The sequence below is a fragment of the Homo sapiens genome, chromosome 14 (assembly GCF_000001405.40).
Source record: "Homo sapiens chromosome 14, GRCh38.p14 Primary Assembly".
NCBI lineage: Eukaryota > Metazoa > Chordata > Mammalia > Primates > Hominidae > Homo > Homo sapiens.
The window spans coordinates 105,589,158-105,607,724 of record NC_000014.9 but is presented as its reverse complement, the minus strand read 5'-3'; the positions used below and the strand labels follow the sequence as shown (position 1 = coordinate 105,607,724).

General features: G+C 62.7%; 1 gene segment (V, D, J or C) and 1 further gene; both read left to right on the top strand.

Moving 5' to 3' along the window:
- IGH (immunoglobulin heavy locus) overlaps positions 1-18,567 on the top strand; it is a 1,293,408-nt gene that overhangs the window by 1,272,120 nt on the left and 2,721 nt on the right.
- On the top strand, positions 5,998-7,659 carry IGHE (immunoglobulin heavy constant epsilon). The segment is given in 4 exon segments: positions 5,998-6,306; positions 6,514-6,834; positions 6,921-7,244; positions 7,328-7,659. Coding segments are annotated over 4 exon segments (1,286 nt in total).

The window sequence follows — 18,567 nt, the reverse complement described above, 5'->3', positions numbered from 1 at the left end:
ATAATATTTTCCATAATAGATCATTTTAATGATAAACTCTGAATCTTCTGACAGAATGCAGATCAATGGATTCCTGGCCATCAGGGAGGCGTTGATTGCAAAGGGGCCTGGTGGAATATTTGGAGAGATTCTACATCTTCTTGCAACTGTTCATCTGGATTACGGTGGTGGTTGCATGAGTGTGCATTTGTTGAAACTCACATGTCACAGGATGGATTATACTGAATGTAAACTACACTTGTGTAAATATGACTTTTAAAACTTTAAAAAGTTGGGGGATGGTTCACTGCCCCGGCTCGAAGCCCCCTGGCCACGCTGCCTGGCCAGCCCACCCCCATCCCTGCCAGCGCTTGCCTCCAGCGTCCCAACAGCCTCCTGACCCCCTGGGCTGCTCTAAACCCTCAGGAGCGCAGCCATCTGGGATCAGCTGGATGGAGATGGGGAGCCCGAGACTCGTGCCACACCACGTCCTCCCGCCCCCACCAGCCACACGCAGACGTCAAAGCAGCACTGTCCTCGCACCCGCTGCTCCCACCCACCCTGGCATGGCCATTCCAGGCCTGGGGCAGGAAGGCAGACGCTCCCCCTGCCCCCAGACACAAGCATTCCTGCACACACCCCCAGCACACACACGCACTCCCATGCGCACACTGACACACACAGGTGTGTGCAGCTGAGACACAGCCCGTTCCCAGGAAGCCCAGCCCCCATCACTGAGGGAAAGGGGCAGCACCGTAGGGCCACAGGAGTGGCAGCTGGACACAGAGCCAGGCGCTGGCGAAGGCCCAGGCCACTGAGGCAGGCTGCCGGCATGGCTGGGCGTGAAGGCCAGAACAGGGCAGGAGGGGCTGGGGGCACTATGCCTATTGGGCCTAGGTGGGCACACGCCGGGCAGGAGAGGAACAGCCCGGCCCCTCAGACAGGAAGGGGTGGGGGCAGGGGCCATTTCTGGAGGCCAGGGCAGGGCCAGCACCCCAAGGAAAAGCAGAGCAGGGTGAGAACGGACATGGGGCTCAGAGCTGAGCAGGCCTGCTGGGCCCCAGGAGGGAGACACAGACGACTGGGGATCTCAAGGCTGGCAGAGGCCAGAGATGGAGCCCCAGCTGGGATGCCAACCTCCTTCCTGGGGGCTCACCCTGCCCGGCCCCTCCAGCCCAGCACAGCTTGGGGCATTGGATAGAACCGGGAGAGAGCCGACCAGGCACTGAGGCCCCTGCCCCAAATGCCCACAGCCTGGGGAAAATGAGCAGGTACATGGGAGGGGCAAGTGGAGCCCCAGGCACACCCACACAGTGCACACAGCCTCACCGGGGCCCGGGAAGTGGGGGAACAGGAGGCTCACCACCCCTGCTGTGGTTTCTCTCAGAATCATGGGTCCTTCCAGGGAACTCAGCATTTTCCCCTCAGCCTCCCACACGGCACCTTTCTCCAGGGCCACAAGCAGGGCATGGGGGCCTTGGACAGCCTGGGAACACTCACCCCCAGCCTGCGTTCCCTGAGCCTCACATCATAGCCCTCCAGGGCCCTGGCAGCCAGCAGCCCTTCTGGTGTCTTCCACACGTGGTGAGCATCTCTCTGAGGGCACCAGGCCCGACAGCCCCTCTCCCTCCACAGGACAACCAGCCCTGGGCACCCAGGGTCCCAGGGGCAGGTCCCAGTGTCTCCCTCCCCAAAGATTCTATACAACCCACCCCTCCCCAGTGGCCACTCCATGCATGCTGGCCTCCAGGGGACAGGCAGGCCAATGGTGTGAAGGAAATTATCTCGCTCAGAGCAGAGCACTGGGTGCAACCAGGGACGAATGCCATGGGCGCCTCCAGGAAGGCCACCGAGCCCGAGCCCAGCCTTCTCCATGTGCCCACGCCCACCCATGGCATAGACGGGGCACAGTGTCCCCAGCCTCCAGCAGCTTCAAGGACCTTGCAGAGCCACCAGCCACCTCCGCACAGCTCCCTGCCAGCCCCCAGCCAGGCCCCAGCCTTCATGTGCTCGCCTTGAGGAGCAGCCCAGCTTGGGACCCCCGGCTGCAGGACAGTGACCTGGGAGTGAGTACAAGGTGAGGCCACCACTCAGGGTGCCAGCTCCAAGCGGGTCACAGGGACGAGGGCTGCGGCCATCAGGAGGCCCTGCACACACATCTGGGACACGCGGCCCCCGAGGGCCAGTTCACCTCAGTGCGCCTCATTCTCCTGCACAAAAGCGCCCCCATCCTTTCTTCACAAGGCTTTCGTGGAAGCAGAGGCGTCGATGCCCAGTACCCTCTCCCTTTCCCAGGCAACGGGACCCCAAGTTTGCTGACTGGGACCACCAAGCCACGCATGCGTCAAGAGTGAGAGTCCGGGACCTAGGCAGGGGCCCTGGGGTTGGGCCTGAGAGAGAAGAGAACCTCCCCCAGCACTCGGTGTGCATCGGTAGTGAAGGAGCCTCACCTGACCCCCGCTGTTGCTCAATCGACTTCCCAAGAACAGAGAGAAAAGGGAACTTCCAGGGCGGCCCGGGCCTCCGGGGGTTCCCACCCCATTTTTAGCTGAAAGCACTGAGGCAGAGCTCCCCCTACCCAGGCTCCACTGCCCGGCACAGAAATAACAACCACGGTTACTGATCATCTGGGAGCTGTCCAGGAACCCGACAGGGAGCCGGACGGGCCACACCATCCACAGGCACCAAATGGACGACCCGGCGCTTCAGGTATCCCAGCCCACCGGGAGCCCCAATCGAGGGGCCGGCCCAGGCAGCAGTGAGGGAGAGGCTGCCTGGGCCCCTGACAGCGAGGGGACTCCTGGGCCACCCTCACAGCATCAACCAAGCTTCTTGGTCACTGCGTGGACTCTAGGCATCCCTTCCCTGCATGGGGACACAGGAAAGCTAGAAACAGCCTAACGCCGACCTGGAGAAGGCAGGGGGCTGGGAATCTTGGCTGGGCCCAAGACCAAGAAGGTCAGAGACCCCACGCTGGGCAGGGCTAGGCTGGGTGCAGACTGCCTGCCACCCCTAGGACAGGGACAGCCAACCCAGAGCTGGGAGGGAGGGTGGGGAGGCGGCAGCAGGGAGCTGTCCTGAGCTCCACTGCGCAACTGGCTGATCTTGGCAAGTCTGAGCTGGGCGGACTGAGGGGGGCTTGGCTGAGTGGACTAGACTGAGACGGGCCTAACAGACTGAGCTGAGGCGAGCTGGGTGGGCTGAGAGGGCTACCCTGTCCCTTAGAGGACAGGTGGCCAAGCTGGGCTGTCCTGAGCCAGGGCGATCGGGGCTGGCCCGGGCCAGGCGGGTTTAGCTGAGTTGAGTGAGTGGACTGGGTAGAGGGAAATGAGCTAGGCTCAGCTGAGCTAGGCTTGAGCTGGGTTATCCTAAGCCCTAAGGTGGACTGAGCTGGGCTGAGCTGGACTTATCTGGGGGGCAGGGCAAAGTCAGGCTGAGCTGAGGTGGCCTGCCCTGGGTGGTCCAGGATTGAGTTAAGCTGAATTAGGCTGACCTGGACTTGACTGGACTTGGTTGAAATAAGCTGGGCCGACACAGGAGTAGGGACAAGCTACAGTTCTCTACTTAGGATAAAATGGGTGCTCGTGGACTATCCGGGCTGAAGGAGACCAAGCTGGGGTATTACCTGCTGAGCTTACCTGACCTGGCCTGAGTTCAGCAGGGCTGCGCTGAGCTGGACAGACCTGAGCCAAGCTTAGCTGGTTGGGCTGAGTAAGCTGGGCTGAGCTAAATGGGATTGAGCTGAGGAGGGCTAGGCTGGGGGAGAGACCTGACGACGGACAGGGTTAAAAGCTGGAGTGAGCAGGCCTTAAATTATTGAACTAAATTGGGCTGGGGTGATCTGAATTTAGCTGGGATGAGCTGGGCTGGGCTGAACTGTGCCCACGTGAACTGGGCTAAACTAGGCTCGCCTGAGTGGACTCAGCTGGGTTGGTCTCAACTGGGTTCAGCTGGGCTGGGCTGGGCTGAGCTAGGTTAGACTGGGGCAGGCTGGGCTGGGTTGGGCTGGGTTGGGCTGGGCTGCTCTAGGCTAAGCTAACCTAACCTAACCTGGGTTCAGCTGGCCTAGGTTGGGCTGGGTTGGGCTAAACTGGGTTCAGCTGAGATATGCTAATATGGGCTGGGCTGGGTCAGGTTGAGGTTAACTGAACTGGGCTGACCTGGGCTGAGCTCAACTGAGTTCACATGGGCTGGGCTGGCCTGGCCTGGCCTAAACTGGGTTTGGCTGGGCTGGGCCAACTGGACTGAGGTGGATGGAGCTGGGCTGAGCTGGCCTGGCCGGGCCTGAGCTGTGATTGGAAGACCTGGGCTGAGCTGGACAGACCTGAGCCAAGCTTAGCTAGTTGGGCTGACTAAGCTGGTTTGGGCTAAACTGGGTTGAGCTGGGGAGGACTAGGCTGGGTGAGTGACCTGAGATGGACAGGGTTATAAGAAGCTGGACTGAGCTGGGCTTGGATTATTGAACCGAATTGGGTTGGGGTGATTTAAACTGAGTTCTGCTGGGATAAGCTGATCTACGCTGGGCTGAACTGAGCAGAGCTGAACCTAGCTGGGCTGGGCTAAACTGGGCTAGCCTGAGTGGGCTGAACTGGGCTGCTGGGCTGGACTGGGTAAGCTGGGCTGAGCTGGGTTGGGTGGAAATGGGCTGAGCTGAGCTAGGCTAAACTGGGTTTGGCTGGGCTGGGCTGGGCTGGGCTGGGTTCAGCTGAGCGGGGTTGGGTTAGACTGGGTCAAACTGGTTCAGCTGAGATGGGCTGATATGAGCTGGGCTGGGCCAGGCTGAGCTCAGCTAAACTGGGCAGTGCTGGACTGGGCTGAGCTAGACTGGGCAACTGTATTCAGCTGGGCTGGCCTGGCCTCGGCTAAACTGGGTTCAGCTGGGCTGGGCTGAGCAGGCCTGAGCAGGATTAGTTGAGCTGGTCGTAACTGGATTTAACTAGCTAGGCTAGGCTTAACTGACTAAGCTGATCTGGACTGTATTCATCTGGATGAAGCTGGGGTGAGGTGGCTACTTTAGGTCCAGCTTTGCTGAGCTAAACTGGACCGGGCTAAATTGATCTGGACTGACCATTCTCACCTGGCTAAGAGGAGCTGAGTCAGAAGCAAGCTGGTTGAGCTGGCTGGACTGAAATAAGAGTTTGCTGCCTGCAAGGGGAGGTCCTGGGCTGACCTGGGCCAGGCTGAACCAGGCTGGCTTAGAGTGAACTTCAGAGGGCGACTCCCCCGGTAGGCCAGTCTCAGCTGAACTTGGCTGTCCCGGTGGGCAGAGCGGGGCTGGATACTGTGATTTTGGGGGTACCTAGAGCAGACTTCAAGACCAAGCTAAACTGGGCTCCAGGGGCAGGATGGGCTGGGGACTTGGGACTCCAGGCCAGGGGCGAAGGGCCACGCTGTACAGACCGCACTATCTGGGCCAGGGTTCTGTGGTGGGAGGGACTGACTGCCTGGGGCATCAGGGCAAGTCTTCCCGCCCTCCCCTAGAGGTCAGGGGTGGGCAGAGCACCATGGGGGTCTGGCAGGTCAGGTGAGGGCTGCTGTGATGGGGAGATCCAGGCTTGGCACTCAAGAGCCCGAGGAGCTGAGACCACAGCCTTGGGGGGTTGGGGTCAGGGTTGGAGGGCAGGCAGACCATCCACCATGAGCCCAGAGAGAGTTTGAAGGGGGAGGGCTCTGGGGTCCCAGGCCCCATGGGGTCCCTGGGTTTCAGCCTAGGGGCATGGCCCAGTGTCTCTGCTCCTGAGTGCCCACCGTGCAGCACTTGCAGGGGGAGGCTGGGGTCATCCTGGAGGCACCCCCCTTCCTGAGCCCAGCCTGATGATAGTGGCTGAGCAACAGCTTCTGGTGGGGGAATGGGGGCCCTGGGAGCCGCCCTGGGCCTGGGGATTGTGGGGAAAAAGGCCCAGAATGAGCCTGGCCATCTGGATCCCTGCCACGGGGTCCCCAGCTCCCCCATCCAGGCCCCCCAGGCCTGATGGGCGCTGGCCTGAGGCTGGCACTGACTAGGTTCTGTCCTCACAGCCTCCACACAGAGCCCATCCGTCTTCCCCTTGACCCGCTGCTGCAAAAACATTCCCTCCAATGCCACCTCCGTGACTCTGGGCTGCCTGGCCACGGGCTACTTCCCGGAGCCGGTGATGGTGACCTGGGACACAGGCTCCCTCAACGGGACAACTATGACCTTACCAGCCACCACCCTCACGCTCTCTGGTCACTATGCCACCATCAGCTTGCTGACCGTCTCGGGTGCGTGGGCCAAGCAGATGTTCACCTGCCGTGTGGCACACACTCCATCGTCCACAGACTGGGTCGACAACAAAACCTTCAGCGGTAAGAGAGGGCCAAGCTCAGAGACCACAGTTCCCAGGAGTGCCAGGCTGAGGGCTGGCAGAGTGGGCAGGGGTTGAGGGGGTGGGTGGGCTCAAACGTGGGAACACCCAGCATGCCTGGGGACCCGGGCCAGGACGCGGGGGCAAGAGGAGGGCACACAGAGCTCAGAGAGGCCAACAACCCTCATGACCACCAGCTCTCCCCCAGTCTGCTCCAGGGACTTCACCCCGCCCACCGTGAAGATCTTACAGTCGTCCTGCGACGGCGGCGGGCACTTCCCCCCGACCATCCAGCTCCTGTGCCTCGTCTCTGGGTACACCCCAGGGACTATCAACATCACCTGGCTGGAGGACGGGCAGGTCATGGACGTGGACTTGTCCACCGCCTCTACCACGCAGGAGGGTGAGCTGGCCTCCACACAAAGCGAGCTCACCCTCAGCCAGAAGCACTGGCTGTCAGACCGCACCTACACCTGCCAGGTCACCTATCAAGGTCACACCTTTGAGGACAGCACCAAGAAGTGTGCAGGTACGTTCCCACCTGCCCTGGTGGCCGCCACGGAGGCCAGAGAAGAGGGGCGGGTGGGCCTCACACAGCCCTCCGGTGTACCACAGATTCCAACCCGAGAGGGGTGAGCGCCTACCTAAGCCGGCCCAGCCCGTTCGACCTGTTCATCCGCAAGTCGCCCACGATCACCTGTCTGGTGGTGGACCTGGCACCCAGCAAGGGGACCGTGAACCTGACCTGGTCCCGGGCCAGTGGGAAGCCTGTGAACCACTCCACCAGAAAGGAGGAGAAGCAGCGCAATGGCACGTTAACCGTCACGTCCACCCTGCCGGTGGGCACCCGAGACTGGATCGAGGGGGAGACCTACCAGTGCAGGGTGACCCACCCCCACCTGCCCAGGGCCCTCATGCGGTCCACGACCAAGACCAGCGGTGAGCCATGGGCAGGCCGGGGTCGTGGGGGAAGGGAGGGAGCGAGTGAGCGGGGCCCGGGCTGACCCCACGTCTGGCCACAGGCCCGCGTGCTGCCCCGGAAGTCTATGCGTTTGCGACGCCGGAGTGGCCGGGGAGCCGGGACAAGCGCACCCTCGCCTGCCTGATCCAGAACTTCATGCCTGAGGACATCTCGGTGCAGTGGCTGCACAACGAGGTGCAGCTCCCGGACGCCCGGCACAGCACGACGCAGCCCCGCAAGACCAAGGGCTCCGGCTTCTTCGTCTTCAGCCGCCTGGAGGTGACCAGGGCCGAATGGGAGCAGAAAGATGAGTTCATCTGCCGTGCAGTCCATGAGGCAGCAAGCCCCTCACAGACCGTCCAGCGAGCGGTGTCTGTAAATCCCGGTAAATGACGTACTCCTGCCTCCCTCCCTCCCAGGGCTCCATCCAGCTGTGCAGTGGGGAGGACTGGCCAGACCTTCTGTCCACTGTTGCAATGACCCCAGGAAGCTACCCCCAATAAACTGTGCCTGCTCAGAGCCCCAGGTACACCCATTCTTGGGAGCGGGCAGGGCTGTGGGCAGGTGCATCTTGGCACAGAGGAATGGGCCCCCCAGGAGGGGCAGTGGGAGGAGGTGGGCAGGGCTGAGTCCCCCCAGGAGAGGCGGTGGGAGGAGGTGGGCAGGGCTGAGGTGCCACTCATCCATCTGCCTTCGTGTCAGGGTTATTTGTCAAACAGCATATCTGCAGGGACTCATCACAGCTACCCCGGGCCCTCTCTGCCCCCACTCTGGGTCTACCCCCTCCAAGGAGTCCAAAGACCCAGGGGAGGTCCTCAGGGAAGGGGCAAGGGAGCCCCCACAGCCCTCTCTCTTGGGGGCTTGGCTTCTACCCCCCTGGACAGGAGCCCCTGCACCCCCAGGTATAGATGGGCACACAGGCCCCTCCAGGTGGAAAAACAGCCCTAAGTGAAACCCCCACACAGACACACACGACCCGACAGCCCTCGCCCAAGTCTGTGCCACTGGCGTTCGCCTCTCTGCCCTGTCCCGCCTTGCCGAGTCCTGGCCCCAGCACCGGGGCCGGTGGAGCCGAGCCCACTCACACCCCGCAGCCTCCGCCACCCTGCCCTGTGGGCACACCAGGCCCAGGTCAGCAGCCAGGCCCCCTCTCCTACTGCCCCCCACCGCCCCTTGGTCCATCCTGAATCGGCCCCCAGGGGATCGCCAGCCTCACACACCCAGTCTCGCCCACTCACGCCTCACTCAAGGCACAGCTGTGCACACACTAGGCCCCATAGCAACTCCACAGCACCCTGTACCACCACCAGGGCGCCATAGACACCCCACACGTGGTCACACGTGGCCCACACTCCGCCTCTCACGCTGCCTCCAGCGAGGCTACTGCCAAGCCCTTCCTCTGAGCCATACCTGGGCCGCTGGATCCCAGAGAGAAATGGAGAGGCCCTCACGTGGTGTCCTCCAGTCCAACCCTCCCTGTCACCCTGTCAGCAGCAGCACCCCACAGCCAAACACAGGATGGATGCGTGGGCTCCATCCCCCACTCACCCACACCGGAACCCCAGAGCAGGCTACGTGCCCCTCACAGACCTCAAACCCACATGTGCATCTGACACCCCAGATCCAAACGCTCCCCCCGGTCATGCACACCAAGGGCACAGCACCCACCAAATCCACACGGAAACACGGGCACCGGGCACCCCATGAGCACAAAGCCCCTCCATGTCTGAAGACAGTCCCTGCACACCGTCACAGCCATACATTCAGCTTCACTCTCACGTCCCAGCCCACCTGCACCCAGCTCTGGGCCTGGAGCAGCAGAAAGAGGTGTGAGGGCCCGAGGCGGGACCTGCACCTGCTGATGACCCGGGACCAGCAGGCAGCTCACGGTGTTGGGGAAGGGAGTGGAGGGCACCCAGGGCAGGAGCCAGAGGGACCAGGCTGGTGGGCGGGGCCGGGCCGGGGTAGGGCCAGGAGGCAGCTCTGGACACCCACAGGCCTGGGCTCATAGTCCACACCAGGACAGCCCCTCAGAGCACCCATGCAGTGAGTCCCAGGTCTTGGGAGCCAGGCCGCAGAGCTCACGCATCCTTCCGAGGGCCCTGAGTGAGGCGGCCACTGCTGTGCCGAGGGGTTGGGTCCTTCTCTGGGGAGGGCGTGGGGTCTAGAGAGGCGGAGTGGAGGTAACCAGAGGTCAGGAGAGAAGCCGTAAGGAACAGAGGGAAAATGGGGCCAGAGTCGGGGCGCAGGGACGAGAGGTCAGGAGTGGTCGGCCTGGCTCTGGGCCGTTGACTGACTCGGGACCTGGGTGCCCACCCTCAGGGCTGGCTGGCGGCTCCGCGCAGTCCCAGAGGGCCCCGGATAGGGTGCTCTGCCACTCCGGACAGCAGCAGGGACTGCCGAGAGCAGCAGGAGGCTCTGTCCCCCACCCCCGCTGCCACTGTGGAGCCGGGAGGGCTGACTGGCCAGGTCCCCCAGAGCTGGACGTGTGCGTGGAGGAGGCCGAGGGCGAGGCGCCGTGGACGTGGACCGGCCTCTGCATCTTCGCCGCACTCTTCCTGCTCAGCGTGAGCTACAGCGCCGCCATCACGCTCCTCATGGTGGGCACCCACCTCCAGGGGCCCGGCCAGGGCAGGGGGTTGGGCAGAGCCAGCAGAGCGCCCTGACCCACGCCCTCCCCTCAGGTGCAGCGGTTCCTCTCAGCCACGCGGCAGGGGAGGCCCCAGACCTCCCTCGACTACACCAACGTCCTCCAGCCCCACGCCTAGGCCGCGGGCCACTCACGCTCCACCAGGCCCAGCTTTTTCTCTGCCAGCGCCTGAGCCTCCCTCGGGCTGCGCCCTGCCCTGGGTGGGAAAAGGGAAGCAGACAAGAAAAGGGGGCACAAGGTCACTACTGTGGGCTGATGGCCAGTGAACCTGAGCCCAGAGGGGCCGGCTCAGCCGCAAGGTTACAGGCGCCGAGAGAACCACCAGTCGCAGCCCCCACCCGAAAACCGTGTCTGTCCCTTCAACAGAGTCATCGAGGAGGGGTGGCTGCTAGCCGTTCTGAGCTCATCCCAGGCCCCTGGGTCTCCGGGTCACTCCCATTCTGACTGTACAATCACCAAAAGCCAAGGAGGGCCCGGCACCCAGCCCAGGACACAGCTGAGTCTGCGTCCAGCCCAACACCAGCCCACGGCCTCACTCCCCAGCCTCGGTCTGACCCTTCTAGCCCTGAGGTCCAAGTGTCTGGCATCCCCGTCCCCCAAGCCTCACCCAGACCTTCTTTCCCTTCACCCACCCCTCCTGCCACCCATCCACAGCCCCCATCCCTTCACCCACCCCTCCTGCCATCTATCCTCAGCCCCCATCCCTTCACCCACCCCTCCTGCCATCCATCCACAGCCCCCATCCCTTCACCCACCCCTCCTGCCATCTATCCTCAGCCCCCATCCCTTCACCCACCCCTCCTGCCATCCACCTGAGCCCCCATCCCTTCACCCACCCCTCCTGCCATCCACCTGCAGCCCCCATTTCTGCAGCCTGAAGGCACAGGGAAGCCCTCTGAGGCCAGGCCACAGGACAGTTGAGGGCTTCGGGCCCCTGGAGTGGGTAGAGGGGCTCCCACAGCCAGAGAAGGGGTTTCCTGCAGGGACAGCAGCTGCCGACCTCGTCCCTATGACCTCGTCCAGCCTCTGGCTTCAGCAGTCATACTTCTTTCTCTCTGGGTTTCTTAGTAAAGATCCTTTTCACAAACCCCACGTCTCCGGAGGGCTCTGTGGGAGGTGTGTGTGGCCCTGGAGTGGCTGGCGGGAGGCAGGACCCCTGAGGACGTGCAGGAGGAGCCAGAGGGGAAGGAAGGGCAGGGGCCATTCTGGGGTCCTGAGAGCCAAAGTGCCCAAGCAGTGGTTCCCATCAATCACCCCTCAGCACCCCAGAGACTCCCCAGCTCGGCCCTGTCATACCTGGTCTGCTGGTCTCCAGCCCAGACTCATGCCTCCTTCTCAGGTAAAGTCAAAGCAACAATCAACATCGACCCCTTTGTGGGCAAAACCAGAAGAGGCCCATGCTGTGGTCAGCACAGGAGGCCCCAAGAATGCAGCTGCACAGTCACCAAGGTGGAGGCTGATGGGGGCCCCTAGGACCACTGGCCACACACCCTGATCCAGCACCCACTGAGCACAGACAAAGCTGACTCCCCAGCCCACAGCCGCCCACCAGCCTGGACCTCCTGAAGAGCTGAGAGGTGACCCAGGAGCAGGCTGGGGCCCCAGAGCCATCGGGGCCACAGGTGGGCTTGACCCACACCAGTCCTCAGGGCAAATGTGCAGCCTCCCTGGCTGGAGAGGCCTGCTTACAAGGGTCTCCACAACATCCTAAAAATGGGAGAGAACGCATGATAGGCATGACAAAGGGCAGGGTTCCCTCATATACAAAGAGCACTCAGAGATCACTAAGAAGAAAGGTGAGCAATAGGTTCTTCATGGAAAGGAAAAACCCAGTGGCCGATAATATAAAGAAACCATTTTAACAATGAGAAAAGTGAAAGGAAGGAGGAGGGGATGAAGGGGGTGGAGGTGCTTCTTGGCCCTGACTGAGGGCACGTAAATCATTAAGACCACTTTTTAGGGCCAGTTGGCAAAATGCCCCAATGCAGGAGAGTCCTCTCACAGTGATGGCCCCACAGGGAGAGCCTCGCTCTGTGCCAGGAGAGCCACGTCACATGGAGTCTGGCACAAAGCGGAATGAAGCAAGCCTGCCTCAGTCTGACAGCGGCACCTGGGCCCTCCGCCCTGTCCTCTGCTGCGACCTCGGAGCAGCCGGGCACGGGGGAGAAGGTGAGGAGCGACGGCTCCCTACGGGGTAGAAAACCCCAAAGCGGGCAGCGCTGAGGCCGACTGGGTCCAAACAACACCAGAGGAGGGGGCGTCGCAGGACAGGGCCAAGGCCACAGCCGCTGCCCAGCTCCCCTCACACACTCCCTCATTCACAGACACACACGCAGGCACACACTCGCACATGCAAAAACACACAGGTTCACACACACAGACTCAACCTCTCATACACATTTGCACTCACACACACCAATCATGCACTCACACAGGCTGACACGCTCGGGCACGCTCATACCAACACACACACAGTCTCAGGAAGCCAGGCCCTCCATCCACCCCATCACCAGCCCAGGGTGTCGCAAACCCACATCTCCTACAACAGACCGGCCCTCCGCAGCCAAGGTGCCCCGGACCGGGAGCCCCCCCGGGGGACAGAGCTCAGTGACTTTCTCTGCCCCGCACCCTAGATCATGAGACCTCCATGGCCCCAGAGCAAGGGCAAGGAGTCAGCTCACTGCCCCACTGTGTGGCAGGCGTCCTCACGCACAGAAAATTCCATCGCCTCAAAGGCCTGAGAGGAAGACCAGATGAGCACCCACGTAGAGGAGACAGACGGGGCCCGTGGGGAGGGGCAGAGGCCCGGATTCACACCCAGGCTCGGAACAGCGCCCCTGCCTTCCACATGGCCTGGCCTCCCGGGAGCAAGAGGATGCCGTCTCAGGGCCTCTCCATCCCCCTCTTCATTCCCCTATTAACCCACCCGTGGGTACAACCATGGCCCCCAAAAGATAGAGCCACATCCTAGCCCCTGGGGCCATTGAGTGCGGCATTATTTGTCAAAAGGGCCTTTGCAGATCCCATCAAGATAAGGATTTCGAGGTGAGGGCACCCTGGATTGTCAAGGATTTCGAGGTGAGGGCACCCTGGATTGTCAAGGATTTCGAGGTGAGGGCGCCCTGGATTGTCAAGGATTTCGAGGCGAGGGCGCCCTGGATTGTCAAGGATTTCGAGGTGAGGGAGCCCTGGATTGTCAAGGATTTCGAGGTGAAGGAACCCTGGATTGTCAAGGATTTCGAGGTGAGGGCACCCTGGATTGTCAAGGATTTCGAGGTGAAGGAACCCTGGATTGTCAAGGATTTCGAGGTGAGGGCACCCTGGATTGTCAAGGATTTCGAGGTGAAGGAACCCTGGATTGTCAAGGATTTCGAGGTGAGGGCGCCCTGGATTGTCAAGGATTTCGAGGTGAAGGAACCCTGGATTGTCAAGGATTTCTAGGTGAGGGCACCCTGGATTGTCAAGGATTTCGAGGTGAAGGAACCCTGGATTGTCAAGGATTTCGAGGTGAGGGCACCCTGGATTGTCAAGGATTTCGAGGTGAGGGCGCCCTGGATTGTCAAGGATTTCGAGGTGAGGGAGCCCTGGATTGTCAAGGATTTCGAGGTGAGGGAGCCCTGGATTGTCAAGGATTTTGAGGTGAAGGAACCCTGGATTGTCAAGGATTTCGAGGTGAGGGCGCCCTGGATTGTCAAGGATTTCGAGGTGAGGGAACCCTGGATTGTCAAGGATTTCGAGGTGAGGGCGCCCTGGATTGTCAAGGATTTCGAGGTGAGGGCGCCCTGGATTGTCAAGGATTTCGAGGTGAAGGAACCCTGGATTGTCAAGGATTTCGAGGTCAGGGCACCCTGGATTGTCAAGGATTTCGAGGTGAAGGAATCCTGGATTGTCAAGGATTTCGAGGTGAGGGCGCCCTGGATTGTCAAGGATTTCGAGGTGAGGGAACCCTGGATTGTCAAGGATTTCGAGGTGAGGGCGCCCTGGATTGTCAAGGATTTCGAGGTGAGGGCGCCCTGGATTGTCAAGGATTTCGAGGTGAGGGCGCCCTGGATTGTCAAGGATTTCGAGGTGAAGGAACCCTGGATTGTCAAGGATTTCGAGGTGAAGGAACCCTGGATTGTCAAGGATTTCGAGGTGAAGGAACCCTGGATTGTCAAGGATTTCGAGGTGAGGGCACCCTGGATTGTCAAGGATTTCGAGGTGAGGGCGCCCTGGATTGTCAAGGATTTCGAGGTGAGGGAACCCTGGATTGTCAAGGATTTCGAGGTGAGGGCACCCTGGATTGTCAAGGATTTCGAGGTGAGGGCACCCTGGATTGTCAAGGATTTCGAGGTGAGGGCGCCCTGGATTGTCAAGGATTTCGAGGTGAGGGCGCCCTGGATTGTCAAGGATTTCGAGGTGAGGGCGCCCTGGATTGTCAAGGATTTCGAGGTGAAGGACACCCTGGATTATCGAGGGGGCTAGGTCCGAGGACAAGTGTCCTAGCTGGAGACAGACGAGGAGACACAGGGATGGGGAGAGGCAGAGGCAGACAGGGGTGGTGCTATGGTCTGAGGGTCTGTGTCTGCCCGAAACTCCTGTGTGACAGCCGTCATCCCAGAGTGAGAGCATGCAGAGCTGGGGCCTCAGGGAGGTGGTTAGGGCCTGAGGGGGAACACTCAAAAATGTGACTCGGTCCCTGATCTCACTAGAGACCCAAAAGAAAAGGGACCCCAGAGAGCAGCCCTGCCCTCTTTCCACCATGTGAGGACGCAGCGAAAAGATGGGGGTCTGTGAACCAGGAATCGGCCCTTCCTGGAACTTGACCCTGCTGCCATCCTGACCTTGAACTTCCAGCTTCCCTGAGAAATGAATGTTGCTGCTGAACCCACCAGTCTATGGTATTTTTGTTATTGCAGCCAGAAATGACTAAGACGCAGCAGCCACGTCCCCCTGGCGAGGGCCGGGGGCATCCCAAGGTTCATAACAAAAGCTCCAGAGCTTCCCTGAACCGCCAGGTGTGTCTTCCCAGGACCCTGGGGCAGCCCCAGGCTACCTCCCTCCTCCTCTGGCCCCACCTGCCCTGATCCGGCCTCACTGTCACTCCCTGGATTTCACCCGACAGCCTCCGCCGGGGTGGCCCGGCCCCATGGCCAGGGCATCTTCCATTCACGCCCACGCTTTCCAGGACTCCGCTGCAGCAGCTCCTCTGTGAAGCGCCCCTGGCCTCCCATTGCCGGTGCCACCCGAGCCCCCAGACATAGCTGGCCTCCCCCGACTCCAGGGCCAGCATCGCTGGCGGGATCTCTCCAACGCAACGGCCAGCTCTCTGGTGACCCACAGTAGGAGTGCCACCTGGGCAGTGCTGGACAGGGTAGAGCAGGCACCTTGGCCGCCCTGACCCGCAGGGCTGCAGGCTAGGAGACGGGGTGCCCCCATGCCCCCACCCTGGGCTGCAGTCTGGGGCCCCCAGTGGCCCATGGGGCAGGCCGAGGGAGGCCAGGCCCGAGTGGCTCCAACCCAGCAGCGCAAGACTCACTCTCCCCAGCCTGATGCCCGCCCTGTGGCCCCAAGGCCCCTTCAACGGGAGTCCACTCACAGGCGCCCTTCCCCTGCGGGTGGTCGGGGACCCTCTCTGGCCCTGTGTCTCCCCTTTGCCATCTCTGTCTCGGGGTCTCTGAGCCTCTAACTGTGTCTGTTCCTGTTTCCCTGCAGCGTGGCCCCCACCCCGCCCTGTGGAGCCATGTGGAGCCGTGAGGCTCCACGGCCGGTGGGGTCACAGAGCCCTGGCCACACACACCTGGCCCCACCACAGCCAGACCACAGGCCAGACATGACGTGGAGCCGCGCAGCCGTGTCTGCTGGGGCAGGAAGTGGGCGAGTGACCCCGTCTGTAGGCCAGACGTACGGGCATGCAGGCCCTCCCCTCCAGCCCCTCAGCATCCAGCCACATCTGTGGACACAGCCAGCGCGGCGGAGCAGGGCTCTGCTAAGGACAGACGGCCATCAAGGCAGGACCTGGGCCGGGCCAGGGCTCCCTCCCCACAGCAGCCCTCTTGGCAGGCAGCCAGACGCCCGTGAGGGTGGACCTGCCATGAGGGCCTGCACGCCGGAGGCCGCCCACTCAGCACTGCGGGCCCTCCAGCAGCCTGACCAGGTGGGTCTTGGAGGTCTCCAGGCCTCCGTCTCCTTCTCTGCACATTGAGGAGTCCAGCCAGGCTGGTCCTGGCCCCTTCTGGAAGCAAAAGGTGGAGAACAGGCACCAAGACAAGAGGGAAGGACAAAAGAGGTCACCACAGGGACTCCGGAACCACAGGGCAGGGCTTCCTAACCAGGCAGGAAGGATCTGGGCACTGGGGGCTGAGCCAGGCTGGCCAGGCCTAAGCTGGGATGACCCGGCCCTTCCTGGGATACAAGGTGAACAGCTTTCATGGCTGAGCTGAGGCCTAAGTTGAGCCGAGGCCTAGGCTGAGCCGAGCCAGAGGGCAGAGGAGAAGATGACCTGGAGCCAACTGATACACGTCCATGTGGGCTGCCCTGAGCTGCCCTGGCCTGGGCTGGGCTGAGCTAGGCTACACTGGGCTGAGCTAGGCTACACTGGACTGGGCTGAGCTGAACTGAGCTGAGCTGGGCTGAGCTGGGCTGGGCTAGGCTGGGCTGAGCTGGGCTGGGCTGAGCTGAGCTGGAGCTGGGGCTGAGGTGGACTGGGCTGGGCTGGGCTGGGCTGAGCTGGGCTGAGCTGAGCTGGACTGAGCTGGGCTGGGCTGGGCTAGGCTGGGCTGGGCTGGGCTGGGCTGGGCTGGGCTGGGCTAGGCTGGGCTGGGCTGGACTGGGCTGGGCTAGATTGGGCTGGGCTGGACTGGGCTAGGCTGAGCTGGGCTGAGCTGAGCTGGACTGAGCTGGGCTGGGCTGGGCTGGGCTGGGCTGGGCTGGGCTGGGCTAGATTGGGCTGGGCTGGACTGGGCTAGGCTGAGCTGGGCTGAGCTGAGCTGGACTGAGCTGGGCTGGGCTGGGCTGAGCTGGGCTGGGCTGGGCTGGGCTGGGCTGGGCTAGGCTGGGCTGGGCTGGGCTGGGCTGGGCTGGGCTAGGCTGGGCTGGGCTGGGCTGAGCTGGGCTGAGCTGAGCTGGACTGAGCTGGGCTGGGCTGGGCTAGGCTGGGCTGGGCTGGGCTGGGCTGGGCTAGATTGGGCTGGGCTGGACTGGGCTAGGCTGAGCTGGGCTGAGCTGAGCTGGACTGAGCTGGGCTGGGCTGGGCTGGGCTGGGCTGGGCTGGGCTGGGCTAGGCTGGGCTGGGCTGAGCTGGGCTGGGCTGGGCTGGGCTGAGCTGGGCTGAGCTGAGCTGGACTGAGCCGGGCTGGGCTGGGCTAGGCTGGGCTGGGCTGGGCTGGGCTGGGCTGGGCTGGGCTGGGCTAGGCTGGGCTGGGCTGGGCTAGATTGGGCTGGGCTGGACTGGGCTAGGCTGAGCTGGGCTGAGCTGAGCTGGACTGAGCTGGGCTGGGCTGGGCTGGGCTGGCCTGGGCTGGCCTGGGCTGGGCTGGCCTGGGCTGGGCTGAGCTGGACTGGGCTAGACTGGGCTAGACTGGGCTGGGCTGGACTGTGCTGGGCTGGACTGTGCTGGGCTGGACTGGGCTGGGCTGGGCTGGGCTGGGCTGAGCTGGGCTGGGCTAGATTGGGCTGGGCTGGACTGGGCTGGGCTGGGCTGAGCTCGGCTGGGCCGGGCTGAGCTGGGCTGAGCTAGACTGGGCTGAGCTGGACTGGGCTGGGCTGGGCTGAGCTCGGCTGGGCCGGGCTGAGCTGGGCTGAGCTAGACTGGGCTGAGCTGGGCTGAGCTGGGCTGAGCTGGGCTGTGCTGAGCTGGGCTGAGCTGAGCTGGGCTGAGCTGGACTAGGCTGGGGTGAGCTAGGCTGGGCTAGGCTGGGCTGGGCTGAGCTGGGCTGGGCTGAGCTGGGCTAAACTGGACTGGGCTAGGCTGAGCTGAGCTGAGCTGAGCTGAGCTGGACTGGGCCGGGCTGGGCTGAGCTGAGCTGGGCTAGGCTGGGCTGGGCTGGGCTGACCTGATCTGAGCTGGACTGGGCTGAACTGGGTGAGCTTAGGTGGACTGAGCTGGTCTGGGCTGAGCTGAGCTGGGCTGAGCTGGGCTGGGCTGAGCTGAGCTGGGCTGAGCTGGGCTGGGCTGAGCTGGACTGAGCTATGCTGAGCTGAGCTGGGTTGCGTTGACCTGGGCTGAGCTGGGCTGGGCTGGGTTGGACTGGGCTGGGCTGAGCTGAGCTGAGCTGGGCTGGGCTGAGCTGAGCTGGGCTGGGTTGGACTGGGCTGGGCTGGGTTGGACTGGGCTGGGCTGAGCTGAGCTGTACTGAGCTGGACTGACCTGGGCTAAGCTGAGCTGGGCTGACCTGTACTGGGCTGGGCTAGACTGGGCTGAGCTGGACTGAGCTGAGCTAGACTGGGCTGAGCTGGGTGAGCTTAGGTGGACTGAGCTGGGCTGGGCTGGGCTGAGCTGAGCTGAGCTGGGCTGGGCTGGGCTGGGATGAGCTGTACTGAGCTGCCCTGGGGTGGGCTGGGCTGAGCTGGGCTGAGCTGGGCTGGGCTGGACTGAGCTGGACTGAGCTGGACTGGCCTGGGCTGGGCTGGGCTGGATGAGCTGAGGTGGCTGCTAATGTGGGAAGGAGGCC